This window comes from Homo sapiens, chromosome 5 (genome assembly GCF_000001405.40).
Source record: "Homo sapiens chromosome 5, GRCh38.p14 Primary Assembly".
NCBI lineage: Eukaryota > Metazoa > Chordata > Mammalia > Primates > Hominidae > Homo > Homo sapiens.
The window spans coordinates 124,034,592-124,049,272 of record NC_000005.10 but is presented as its reverse complement, the minus strand read 5'-3'; the positions used below and the strand labels follow the sequence as shown (position 1 = coordinate 124,049,272).

Sequence of the window (14,681 nt, the reverse complement as noted above, 5' to 3'; positions counted from 1 at the left end):
TAATAAGATACATACTTTAGGGGCCTGTTCACTCTTTGAAAAATGACTTTAGGAAGGTAGATGAGGCACAAGGCTCGATTTACTGTGTTTTAGTTTATTTTAAAATAATCAACAATCTAATAAGAGTGACACTAAATGGAAAGGTGGAAGGGAAATATTCCTTTATGTTATTCTTCTTTATTCATGAAGGCCTTAAAGCATGTCTTTAAATCAAATGGACTTTAGCCCTATTCACTAGCATTATTTTTCAGAGGATATACAAATAGATACTTTAGGCGCGATTAAATGTGCACCTATAGCTGGTTCTTGTTTTTCATTATGCTCAACTCCAACTTAAGTTACTATGGCCCAAGAAAACACGCCAAAGACTACAGGCCTACACTCTCAATGGCTTCCTCATTAGATTTTCTATATTGTCAACCTAAAACTACTTACCTTGAAGTTTGTGAGACTTCCAGGGAAGACCATACTTTCTAAATATGATCTTCCACTAATCAAATCCACTGTTTTAAACTGCCTTGTTTCACTAGGGGCCATGGATGTGTTTTCCTCTATGGTCTGTCTATTCAAACTCTTGCTTTCCATTAGGATACAGGTCAAATGTCACCACCGCTGCTAGTAAGTAGAACCCACCTCTCTGACAAGGTTAGTGAAGTTCCAGTGGAAGCGAAGTACAAAATATTTATTGAAAAAGTGTGTGATTCATAGGAGTCACTACAATCCTTTAAGAAGAAAGATGAACATGTGTATATCTGCATGGCATTTTTGTCTTATTGTTGATGATTTAAAAAAAAAAAAAACATTGCCCTATAAATAAAAATATGATGGGGTACAAAACAACTAATCAGAATTTGTAAAGACTTGTAGAAAAGAGACAAGAAAATAACAGACTGCTTCAAAGACAAGAAAGGGGATTAAAAGGAATAAGAAAAAGTCAAATTAAAAAATTGCAAAGAAAGAAAACTTAATTTTTATTCAAATTGGAGTAAAGTTTTACATAAACTATAAAAGAAGATAAGAGCATTAAATAGATTATTGATTTTAGTAGGAAAAAAATGAGGAAAACAGGGAAAGGAGGCTAATCAAATCCTGTTAAAAATAGTTAGAATGTTTGAAAATTTAAAAATTTATAAATTTGTGACTGCAAAGTAAACAAGCAGTCAGTAAAAATAGTACCAAGTAAATGTTTTTAATTCAGAAAAAATCAGATATATGTACAATATACCTGTTATATCAAATATAGACTTGGAACAAAAATGGCATTGTTATTAAAAACTAAAGAAGAAGACAACTCAAACTGTTGTGGATGCTTGCGCAGGAGTTCAAAGAAGTCTATTTATGTCTGCCATTGTATAAGATCCTTCCTTGTCTTCGGGAATCCAGAACTGGTTTTGTTTAATGAGTATAATTTAAATTCCAAGAATAATAATCATATAATACATTTGAAGAAAATACAGCTGTAACCTAAGAACACAAAGAGATTATTGTCAAATGATGGACAGCAGTAAGACAGAATCTCCAGAACTTCAACTGGAAATGTACCAGGTGTGTTAACCTTTGAAGAAAAAACAAACAAACAAACAAAAAAGGGTTTATTTTTATCAGTTGACTATCTTAACCACCAGGGAGAATTTTTTAAATATCTTTTTATCTCACTCTCGTTTTTGTTGCTGTTGTTATTAGAAAAGCATGATATGACTAATAGAAAGCCTAGAAATACAGTCAAATACGGTTTTCTCTTAAACGTATTAAAATAATTATAAAAGTTCTGTCTTCTGCCCCATTTTCTAAGTAATACATTGTAATTGGTATGTCCTTAAATATTCAATAAAATTCAATTGAATAAGCTATCTCCCACTATTTTTGGGAAATCGGATTGTTTTTACTCTTACTAAACAATAACAACAACCACACAGCAAAACAACAAAACGCTCAGATTTTTGTACTCGTCTTTGATTATTTCTGAAAGCCAAATTACTCAAAGGATAAGAAAATCTAAATGTCTTTCAGATTTTTACTTTAGTTTACATACATATTCATAAAAATCTCAATTTGGTGTTTGATTTAGAAAGGTTTACTATTTTCTGAGACTTTTCAGAGTAATCTGAAAATAACTGAACTATGTGAGGAACCCGGATGCCTGACTACACGTGGCATTCCCTCCTCTCTCTTTCTCTTCACTCTAGTAGACAGGTTTATTAGGATCTTTTGGAGGGTGTGTCGATTAGCAAGTATTCCTTTTCAGAAAAGGGAAGGCTTAATTTTACCTGGATGCACAAGATACAGCACTGTCTATATATCAACATTTTTCCTTGTGGATAGTAGTAGCCCCGGATTTCAGAGTTAATATAGATTTTGATCCCCCTGGCTTTTAAAATATTCTATTGATCATTAAAATGGAAGTCTTGAAAGATGTATTCAAATTCATTAATTACCTGTAATTTCCTCTGAAATTAGGTATACGAAAACACAGGAAGTTCAATGGTGTAAGTTAAAAAATTGTGTCTTTAAAAGATGTGTCTAAAAACATCATTATATAACCAGATTATGGGCTATGTGTAATTTAAAAATACCCAGAATTAATTTGTCATGAACATAACAAATTAGAAAAGCCATATATCATTTCTATGTTCCTGCAGAATGTGTTTTGGACCTTCGCTTGTCCTAAAATATAAATTCAGAGATAACTTTATATTCAGTGAAATTTCCACTTAACTCCAATCCTTTGACACACCAGGTTTTGGCAAAAAGGCAAGACATTCTAAAATGAGACCGGTTAGGCTCAAAAACCACAAGGCCTACACTACAAAATTCTCTCCTCAGAACTACCAAAATGCTAATAATCGTGTCTCCCTAAGATTGGTAATTGTTAGTTGGTTGATTGGTAATGAATTCAGGAGTCATTAGAGTAACAGGAAAGTCAAAGCAATTATTCAGGTATTTTAAACTAAAATAAAGAAACATTTTGCTATGAAGGGATAAAGGATGAAAAGAAACTCCATGCAACCCATTATATAATTGCTCATATCTGCACTTCAGGAAGCTCCTGCCTTTGTGTCTCTTGTCTCATACTGAGGCTTCTTTCAGCCAGTTTGATTTCCTGCTCTGCTCTCTGCCTCTCCTACCTATTTATCTTCTTTCCCATGTGAAATGCCTACTTACACGTTCCTCCAGACTCCCCTCTTGTCTCTTATTCTTTGGAAAGCTGTACATTTTCCTGCTGCAAGTCTTTGTGTTTATTTTCTTTTTCTTATTCTTATGTGAATCTCAAGATGTTGCAAAAATTCCCTATGTTTTTCTGTAGAGTGTAGTAAATCATCAAATGGAGAATGTTTGACCTTTCTAGGTGAAAGACTACTTCCATCTTGAAGAAAAAAAAAGTCTCCTATGAATTTTCTGTCTTGTATTTCTAACTGCACAAGCAACTATCTAATTTCCTAGACTAGCTAAAATTAAGATGTGAATTAACAAAGATATTGACATAGCAAGTTATAAAAAGCAAGATCTCTGCTAAAATTAAGAGAACATTATAACCTGACCTGCTTATATTAGAAGAACTTTAGTTTCGCTGGATGTAGTATCATGTAGCTCTGAGAGCATATTTTCATAGAACATTTTGCATTTTTTATGTCCACTATGGGAGAGCTCTTTCAAGAAAGCTGGCTCATAAGGTTACTTCAATGCTTTTGAAATTCAAGATGCAGAGCGAGCTTTGCCAAAGAGAGTACTGTCTAGTTCAATGATCAAACACTGTGTATTTGGAAAGCAGAGCTGAATGTCTGCTAATTGTTTGCCTACATTCATGACAACCAGGTATAGCATTATCAGAACCTTTTTTGATATGATTTATTGCTTTCATTTCTTCTTTTTGAATAATTAATTCTCTACATATTTACCTGTAAGGTTTATTCCACCAAAAACCATGTTGATAAAAATCATCTCTCCTGCAGGAGCTGGATCAAAAAAAAAATCTTCATAAGCACATGTTCTAAAATTTACATCATTTGTGAATTTCAGGACAAATTCCTTCGGTGACAATCTGATCTCCTATGGATAGTACATTAAGCCAATCATATAAATTGATTTATTGGTTTTATGCCTGTCTGGCAATCCTTTTTTGCAAGTTTGCTCTTATTAATTCCCAGTTTCACTCTCTTTTTCCCCTCAGTTGCTAAATAGGCATACAATTATTGTCATATTTAAGAAATAAATACTAAGACTATGGGTCACAAATAGGCAGTCTGTTGACTGAATCCAGCATGTAGACATGTTTTATTTGGCTTGTAGCACATTAAAAAAATTTTTAAAAATCACCAAAAAAAAATCGAAATCTCCTAGCTTTGTCTTGAAAAATTCAAAGATCTGCCAATCCTCAGCCCACTTCCATGTATGCTGCATGGTAGCTGCCTGCATTAGATGAAGCCAGGATTCTCCAGTTGAATCTTGCCAGCCCTCACCTCATCCTTCCCACTCATTAATTGCCCATCTGTCCCCTGTAGGTTTGCATAGGCTAGTCCTGATTTTGAATACTTGGACAGGCTTGGATAGAAGTCCCAAAAGTAAATCATAATTTTTAAAGTAGTCCAGGCTTTTCCAATTAGCATAAGTATGATAGTGCTGACATGAATCTTCATTTATGTCGGTAATTACAGTCAATTCCTACAATTGTCTGACCAAAAAAGGGGGGAAAATGCATTTCTATTAGTTATTTGCATTATAAATATTCATAAGCATTTAGCATTCAGAGCCATCTTTTATACATTTCTTATGTAGAATTAGAAATTAATTTTATAGGATGGGATACCTAAAGTTTTATAGCTTTTGCAGATCTTTAAAGAAAAATGTATAAGGCTGAAAAGAGAAATGCAATGATCAATTGGGCCAATTAAGCCTATGGGCCTATGGGGCGAAAAAGTCCCTGTTCCCTATTAAACTGAATCTCAAGTGTATTTTATGTGGAATGCTTTTAAAAATACATTTGTTTCTTTGGATAATAAGTTCCTAGGGAGATTACTGTACATTCATTCAGCAAACTTTCTCCTAGCATACCTAGATGCTATCCACGTTGAGAGTTCCTAGGCAATCCCATGTTCTTATTCAGTATATTGCTTATCTTTGTATTTTCATCAGTTTAGAAGTCCTGGAAGATATCCATCAGCAAACAGGAAATATGTATCTAGGTAAATATATCAGGACTCAGCATATAATTTTAAAAACAATAAATGCACACAAAATTGATCACTTTTTAACTAAAAATTTGTATGTACAAGAATAGTTATCACAGACTTATAAAAATTTTTAAATTAGAAACAATCTAACTGGCCTTATTAATAAGTGCTTGGCTAAATAAATCATAACATATTCCTAGGATGAAGTACTTTTAATATTACTACTGCTATGTAACAATATTACTTAGTAGCTTAAAACAACACACATTTATTATTTCACAGTTTTGTGAGTCAAGAGTGCAGGCAGAGTTTAGCTGGGTCTCTTGCTTAGAATATCACAAGGCTGCAACCAAGATGCTGACAGGGGCTGCAGTGTCATCTGCGGCTTGACTGGGGATGGATCTGCTCCAGGCTCACTCAGGCTGTTGGCAGAATTGCAGCTATAGGACTAAGAGCTTCAGTTTCTTGGTGTCTGTCAGCTGGAATTCTATCCTCAGCCACTAGTGGTCACCTGCAGTTCCTTGCTATGTAGGGATTCTCAACATGACCATCTGCTTCCTCAAAGCCAGCAAGGGAAAGAGAGAGACTCCTGAAAGATGGGTACTCTCATTTGATGTAATATAATGTCATTCATATACAAGTGATCTTGCACGTCCTATCAAATTGACATATTCTATTTGTTAGAAGCAAGTCACAGGTCCCACTCAAACTCAAAAAGCACACCAGAATGCAAACACCAGGAGGTGGGGATAATGTGGGCTACGCTTAAAGTCTGTCTACCATACTCTGCAACATCAAAATTACGCTTTTGAGAAAAAAGGGCTTGGATATAAAAAAAAATTCTAAAAATATGGCATTGGGTTCAAAGATATAATTGCAGTATTAGCTTTTATACTAAATATATGTACAAGTTTTATTAACATATATTCAAACCTAAAAAGAAGAAAATACATATAGATACATACACACACAGAGCAAAAGTTCTAAATAATAGATATTGTTTGTTAGCAGTTTATGGGGACTCTACTTTGTATGTTTCAATGTATTCCAGCATTTCCACAGTCAACATATATTTCCCTTATAGTTAGAAATAAACCAGCTTTTAAAAGTTTCATACTTTTGAGCATGCATAACATTTATTTAATTATAAATTTTCCTTATTTTCATTATCAAAATAAACCAAGGATTTTGTTTGTTTTTAGTTTTTCTTCTTTTAGTTTATGATGAAATCCAAGCACTTGTTTTCAGTAGACTGCTTGGTTGGAACACAGTTTTTCATGAGCTGGAGCTTATTCATCATTAGCTCTGAAAGCCCTTACAGGATTCATTTTTGTTGTTTTTTTAAGAGTTAAATAATTTGTTTTAAAAAAAGAAATAATCTTTCTTTAATACATGATTATCTGTGGCTGCTGTTATCTCTTATTCCTATGTTGGCTCTGAAACGGGAAATGTTCCCTTGTCCCCTTCACAGGGCATCCAATGGGGGTGTGGCTCACTTCTTCAGTGCCCAGCTGCTCAAACCTCTAGGAGAGCATACAGATGGGCAGGCTGTGGGGCTCCAACCCTACAGCAGTGTCTAGGGGTGAATCTTTATAGCTCTTGAAGCCCCAGTGGGCATGTGTTACAGGGTGCTCTTTCAGTTTGCCTATAGGTGGCTTGTGTTAACAAGCTCAATTAGACCCTCTACCTTGTTGCAAGGACAGAGAGCTTTCTGTATCCTGGGTTCTTGCCTTGGTGTACTGGAAGAATCAGATCACACATGGGCTTTAAGAATGAGTGCAAAGTTTTATTGAGTGGAAGTAGCTATCTGCCAACTGGGGAGCCAGAAGGGAGATGGTTTTCCCCTGGAGTTGGGCTGCTTGGTGGCCCCAGCTCTTCTTTGACTGCCCCCACCAAACTTGGCCTCATCCCACCGGTTGATGGCCTGCCGGCATGCCAGTGCCTGTCGGCATGCTCTTCTGCTGGGGTGCTCCTCTCGAGGACCAGCCACTTGTGTCTTTTTCTGCCGCTGTGTTCTCACGATGTTCAGCCACTTGTGTGTCTGTCCACTAGGGTCTTGGGTTTTTATAGGCACAGGATGGGGGCATGGAAGGCCAGCATGGTCTTGGGAAAACATTTGGGCAGGAAATGCCTGTCCTCACCTAGGTCCATGGGGGTGGAACCCTAGCCAGGGACCACAATCTCCTCACCTCAGCACTTCCCTTACCCCTTCTCATATTATTTAAAGGGACCACGCTCTTCCCTCCCCAGCACTTTCGTATCAGCTCCATCCTTATGCCACCTGACAAAAACAGGATCATAAGTTCCTCAGGTCCCTTCATGCAGGACATATATTCTCTTTGGAGAAGATGGAGTCAGGCAGACCAGGACCCAAAGCCACCCTAAGCTCCCCCCAGAAAATATCAGTACTTTTTTGATGAGCTAATAACCTCAACACAAGCAGAAAACACCTAATTAAGTATACTCTGCTGGGGAAAAGAGGCATTTCAACACCCATCTTATCTACCAAAGGATCCTGTTACTTGGAATTAGCAAGCTAGAAGGCCTGAACCATAAATAGAGATAGGAAATCACCATTTAAACGTTATTTAATATTATTTAGTGAAAACCTTCAATGTTCTCATTGACGCTTTTTTTTTTTTTCCAGTTCCTCAAGATGTGAAGACAAAATGGCATGCTTTCTTACTAGGAAATACTCAAAAATCTTGCAAAGCAAAATTGAATTTTATCCCCAACTTTCAAGTTAAATCTTGTGGTGTGCATATCACAAAGTAATTGTTTGATAAAACACACCATTAGAGTAGCCTTTCTGCCTAGATGTTTGGAAAGTATACTTTGCTTCTCAAATCAAGATTTTTTTACAGGAGACATATTAGGAAAATAAAAAGAAAAACTAAAGAGGAATCCTTCCAACTAAAATGAATTTTTAGAATCGACTAAAGTAACTTTTTTTGGCTTTTGTTTTGTTTAGTTTTTCAGGTGTCAGGTCAAGAACTATTATTTTTCCCCATGAAAGCCTCATTACGGTGTCTGACCACAGTTCTTAGAAGATAGATTTGGTACTGCTGGGGAACTGACGCTTGTGTGTCAGCATTTCCTGCCAAGTCTGGTTGTTCTTGGCAAGAAAAAAAATTACTTGGATATAAACTCAGATTGAAGCTGCTGTCCAAAGTCCATGGCCTACATTTTAAACAGAAATTGTAGAGAAACTAAAGCAGCTCACCAATGGATCCTGAATCTTGGCCTCCTCTTTTTAAACTGCAATCTCTTAGAGGAATTACCCTATTCTATTTTTCCTGTGTTTACAGAGCTCCAATTTTCTCAACTTTATAACAGCCACTATACATGATACTAAACTTCAAATTGTTCCCAAATGTATGTTGAAAGGCAATTATCTGTTTGGCTTCAACTAATACATCTGTATAATATTCATCCTATCATATCTGACTTTTATATTCAGGTCATTATCCTTTTGGTTTAGTTAACTATGGTTCCAGTTTTATGAATTTGGGAGTTGTATTAGTCCGTTCTCACACTGCTAATAAAGACATACCTGAAACTGGGTAACTTATAAAAGAAAGAGGTTTAATTGACTCACAGTTCCACATGGCTGGAGAGGCCTCAGGAAAGTTACAATCATGGCAGAAGGGGAAGCAAACATGTCCTTCTTCATAAGGTGACAGGAAGGAGAAGTGGCAAGCAAAAGGGAGAAAAGTCCCTTATAAAACCATCAGATCTCATGAGAACTCACTCAGTATCAGGAGAACAGCATGAAGGTAACGCTCCCATGATTCAATTATCTCCCACCAGGTTCCTCCCACAACATGTGGGGAACTGAAATTCAAGATGAGATTTGGGTAGGGACACAGCCAAACCATATCAGGGTCTACAGTAATATTTCATTACTACATTTTAAAATAAGGGTGACTTTTTCTAGTTTGCTAGCATGTGCTAGTTCCTGGCCCATGGTAGATGTGTGATAAATATTTGTTAAATTAATTATGAAAAATGAATTAATTCAATTGCCATTTTCATAGATCAGTATTTCATATGATTCAACCTAATACTCCATAGTGATATTATAAAAAGTAAATAATGTATCTTTTGGAAATGGTGTAGACAACAGAAAATGCAATTAACATTGGCTTGAAGAGTTAGGGATTTCTTTCTCACACATAAGAAGAAGCCTAGAATTTGGCAGCCCAAGACTGTAGCATGTACTCATGTGTGATTTTCACATTTATGGTTGCAAGGTTGCTGTTCCTCCTGAAAGTCTATTATCAACATTTTATGCAGGAAAGACAAGAAGGAACCAGTATCTACCTGTTTTAAGGAAGCAAAACCTTTTTCAGAAATCTTTTTGCTGGATTCCCACTGCATCTCAGAAGCTATTACAGTGTCTCATGGCTACCACTTGCTGCAGTGGAGGCTAGAACATTAAAGGGATTTTTGTTTGGACACATTTCCGCCCCAAACAAAATCAGTGGCCTGTTAGGAAAGAACAGACTATTAATTGGGTAGGCATTAGCAATGTCTGCCAGAAATGAAATGATCCATGTAAAGTGCCTAGTGTCTGGCACAGGACAACCACTGTAGCTATTATTGCTTATTTATCAACTAATATTATTTCCCTCTTGTAATTCTCTCAGTAAGCAAATATTAAAATCATACCAGATGTGTTTAAATTTTAATATCTTTGCATTCTATCCAATAAATTCTATGAAAGCAATTATTTTTTAAATTTAGCAAATATTGTCAATATCTCTATTTTCTCTTTTTAACATTCTAAATTATTCAAATTCTTCAATCTTATCACTATTTCCATTTTCAAAAGGTTATAAACTCTTATTAAACACATCTTATGATGTAGATGTTATACTAGGCATGAATGTACTTTCAATATTGAATAAAACATGACTATATCTTATGAGTACAGTGATCCTGTAATTCATTACCCAAACAAAGACACTTTGAAAGTAAAAGAAGGAATTAAAATAATTATCCAATGTTAACTAAACTGTAGTGAATCGAGTACAAACCCAGAAATAAGGTTACCCTACTTAAGGAGTTAACCATCTTTTACAGACAGACACACACACACATAAATAGTTATGATATAATGGGCTCAAATTACTAATATTGGTGTATATTAGGTGCTGTAGAAACACAGGGGAGGAAGTAACTAACCTTTCCTGAGGTAATCAGCTTTCTCAAACTAGACTTATTCTTTGTACAGGGTATATTTCCGCATGACCACAGATGAACACATTTGCTTGGCTTTCTGGCACAGCCCTAGCAATGACATGTGCTTGTTTTTGCAGATGTGGATCCAGGTTTAGACTGCTCTCCACTCCCACCACACACACACACACACACACACACACACACACACACACACACACACACAGTGTTGGTCCCTGCATCTGCATGTTGGCCAAACTAGAGCCCTGAGGATGCTAGCTACACTACAGCAGTTCGTGACAAATTGAGAAGTATATGGATATAGCGATAAATAGTGAATGAAAATAAACCAACATGTACGTTCTTTTCCTCTTTTCCCACAGACAGACTGTCATGAGGCACAATAGTTTTGTGGCCTCTCAGAACCTCCGTTATGTTCCAGTGATCAGCTGTAACTATTATCAGGGTGGCCAGGTAGATAATAGTTCCATCCCTGTTATTGCTTTCCCTGCCTTCCTGCTTCACTCCCTTCTTTGTGTCCTTTTCCTCTGGGATTTTACCAAGGCTAATATATGCCATCATATCTTATTCTCTACATTCTGTCCCAAAGTAAACTAATTCATCTTCACTTTCAACAATCTACCCAGTACCTATTTCCCAAAGGGGGCATTTTATACAAGTAGTAAAAGTCTTTTTGGTAAATAAACACATTTTATTTGCTTTGACTGAGGTCAGGAACTAGTTGTAGGCCCCATATTGGACTATTGTAGTTGTAGGTCCCAAATTGGACTATTTTCTGTAAAGGCATTAAGACTGAATAAAGACACAAAGACATAGCTATAGAAGCAATGGCTGCCCCTTCAAGCCAGTTGGCTCTTTTTCTACAGTTTTAGATTTTGTAAACAGAAGAGACCTCAACACTGCAAGGATACTCCTGGGTCAATTCATGCCAGACTATAGTATGTTCAGACCTGTAAGAAGCAAATTCAAGAGGCATTTTTTTGGCTATTGAAATGCCAATTATTGGGATAGTTTAATGCTCCCTTTTCTGGTACAATATTCTTTTTGTTAGCAACAGACAACAGTACTGTATTTCAGAGATTGATAACTTAATAATGTAGGACATCAAGATTATAAAAAGCAGATGTCCAGTGGCTATGTTAATTTAGTACTATCATTCCTAAAACTTATTTTGCTCCATTGACAAACATATCGTTACTAGTGATACATAGCAAAAATCAAGAGAGAAAGAGAGATACCAAAGTTATGCAGTATTTGATTACTCTGTATCTTATGGAATGTATACTCTTTACATTATTTTCACATGAAGTAAATTATTTAAAATTTTTTAGGGGCAGAATGTCACCTTGACTTGCAAGGAATAATTTCTTATTATGTGTATTACATGTATTCTGGTCAAGTTTCCAAATCTTAAATTTATTTCCTTTTATATGAAATGTTAAAATAGCATTTTAAAATTTTAATTTGAGATGACACAATTGGTATAATATAATCATACAAAAAATACTATTAGTATTTTGTGAACTTAAATCAGGCAAAATTTTTAATCAAACAATTGAGAAGCAGAGTTGGTTTTAATTTTTAAATGGACCTAAGCCCTTTTTAGTAGCTTCCAAACTTACATCAAACTCAGCCTGAAAAAGAGAAAGAAAAAATAAAAGGAAAGAAAGCATAATGAAAAAGAACAAGAATATTACTTTGAAACTATATCTTAGTGAAGAGGAAAATATAGAAAAATAGGAAAAGGAAACTGGATATTTGCTTTTAAATTAAACCTGAATCCTCTTCTTTGCTACCTGGTGTACATTTTAGATAAGTCACTTAGCTGAGTTCTTTTATTGGTCTTGGGATCTATTTCATTGCTCACTACAAATTCCAAGGTGGTTTTAATATGATTTATGTATCTGTTACATTGGAGGTTAACAGCCTCCTAAATTAAATTACTCTTGCCTTACACTGAAAGGAAAAAAAAAGACTCCTTTTAGGTAAAATTGCATTTCCTTTAAGTGAAATAACTCATTTACAGGTTTTGTTTTTCAAGTAGGTTTTTGTTTCTACAAGTTTCCAACACTGTAGAAACAAAGAAAGGTGATCAAAGAAGTATATTCTCTGTAATTTCTTCTAAATATGCCAAAAACATCTCTATTTTTGCCAAAAAAATCTCTATTTTTAGGTGTTATCTAGGGCTTGCCTTAGGCTTAGAGTTTTCTTTATTTCTTTAACAATGGCTTGCAAGACAGAAAGAACTAGTTTAATTTCTTTGAAGAATAATTTTCATAATGGGAAGGTTTTCCCCACAGAAAATTTGGAAAACTCACTCCCAGCAGACATAAGGCTTTTTTAAACAAAAGTTACAAAACTTTGGATAGCTCACTGGGTAGAGGACAAGATAATGAATCTGAAGCTCTTTCTGGGATTTTTATTTTCTTTCTAGAAGACATAGTAACATCACAGATGCTGATGCAAAACCTGGCACCTGAGAGATTACTGAATGTATGTCCAATAAACAAACGTATAATGAGAAAACATTCAGTAAATGAACACCTACAGTTTATCTCTTGCCACTGTCACCTTCTAGGGACCTAGTCTCTTTATTAGGAAAAACAGGTGATAATTCAGAGGACATTCCTGCTGAAATAAAGAATCTCTGATAGACGTGTTGCTGGCTAGTTGCCCTTCCTATGTGCACATGTGATAACCTGTCCTTGTACTTGTCATGGCTGTTTAGCTTCTCTGCTTCACTAGAATATACAGGGAGAAACAGCTTAGGATGTGATACAATACATACATATTGGATGGCATAGTGACCCATCTCTCCTAAAGCTTGTAGTCATAAACTGTGAATTTATTTTTCTATCTTGAAAAATGTACACATTTTTTAGACTTAGTTGAAGACATCATGAATGTGTTTCATAATTAATATAGCTTATTTCATCCATTTTTCACATAGTTATTACACTTTCAATGCTATAATTCTTTTCATCTGATATACTGGGGCACCATATTGAAACTTATTAAGTGGACAGGGGTTAAAGAGAGGGTATGAGATCGAACTTATGGGGACTCCCCATTTCTAGAACTTCCTGAGGGTATTCTCATCTTTTAAATACCCCAAAGCCTATAGCAAAATCAGTGCCCATTAAATATTTGTTGGATTAGTTAATTAATATTTTTTAAAACAGGGTGAAATGGATTACAGAAAAGATTTTTTAAATTGAGGGCAAGGCATCGCTTTAGCAAGGCTTTTCTAGGACTTGTCTTTGTGGATAAAACCCATTTGGTAATTGCTCAGCTCTCTCCTTAATTTCATCTCTAAAGACAGAGTCAGAGTCCTCAGGAATATTATACTGATTATTAATATTTGCTTAAGTATTTCCACTAAATATAAAGTAGATAATGACAGTGGAAATACATGGACATAGTTTTGATTGGTAAATAGAAAATGATTCTGTTATTATTTCCCATGCTAGTAAATTAAATCTATCTTTTGGAGACCAGCTACATCTCTTGCTATGAAAATTTTCTTAGTATTCTTTTTATCAGGGTCGACTTAAAAGGCATTGCCAGATTTCTATGCAGACTAAAATACATACACTGATGTATTTTTCTAATGTGAGTGAACAAGTGAATGCAAAATAGGGAAATTCAGTAACTAACATGATAAAGTGGTGAAACCATGAAAAACACCAGATTGGAAAAAATAGCTGAGCGGGGGTTTTCAGTTCCCTTAACAACCAAGTAGGCAACTTGATTAATGGTGCAGATTGCAGGCAATTCAGTGACCACCTGAATGAACATAAGCAGAGCATAATCACCTGACAAATAGTGGCCCGAACGTTCTGCTTTTGAAATGAGAACTGAGTAAAACTCACATCCTAGCTGAACCAAATCACCCGGCAGCCTCAAATTAGACACGTATAGAAAGAAGTTTTTAAAGTTTCTAAAACATAGTCTAAAATATAGTACTGATTTACATTATCAAAAAGCAAATTAAGAATATGTCTACTTGTAAATAAGGAGTTCAGAGTGGGAAAATAGAGAAATATTCTCATTAGATTATTGCCCTCTTTCCCAGAAATAGATGAAAGACTTCAATTCTACATCAGGATCACTATTTCTATAATCTATAGTTGTTGTTTCTTTTGTTCCATTTTTATGTTCTCAACCATTTATCAACAGCTAAAGAGACCTATTAATCATTTTCTCTAACTGCTACACTTCATAGTGTATCAATTGTAGTCTTGAAATAAAAATAAGATAAATGATTTGGCATGAATTGTGGCCTGATGAACCAAGAACAAAGATCTGACA

The 14,681-nt window shown here is 35.2% G+C and overlaps 1 annotated feature.

Annotated features, from left to right (window-relative positions):
- Nucleotides 13,935-13,984: an enhancer, noted in NCBI's record as "active region_23007". NCBI's record gives its function as "activates an Ori minimal core promoter by ATAC-STARR-seq in GM12878 lymphoblastoid cells {active_cell/tissue: GM12878}" and the evidence as "EXISTENCE:reporter gene assay evidence [ECO:0000049][PMID:35858748]".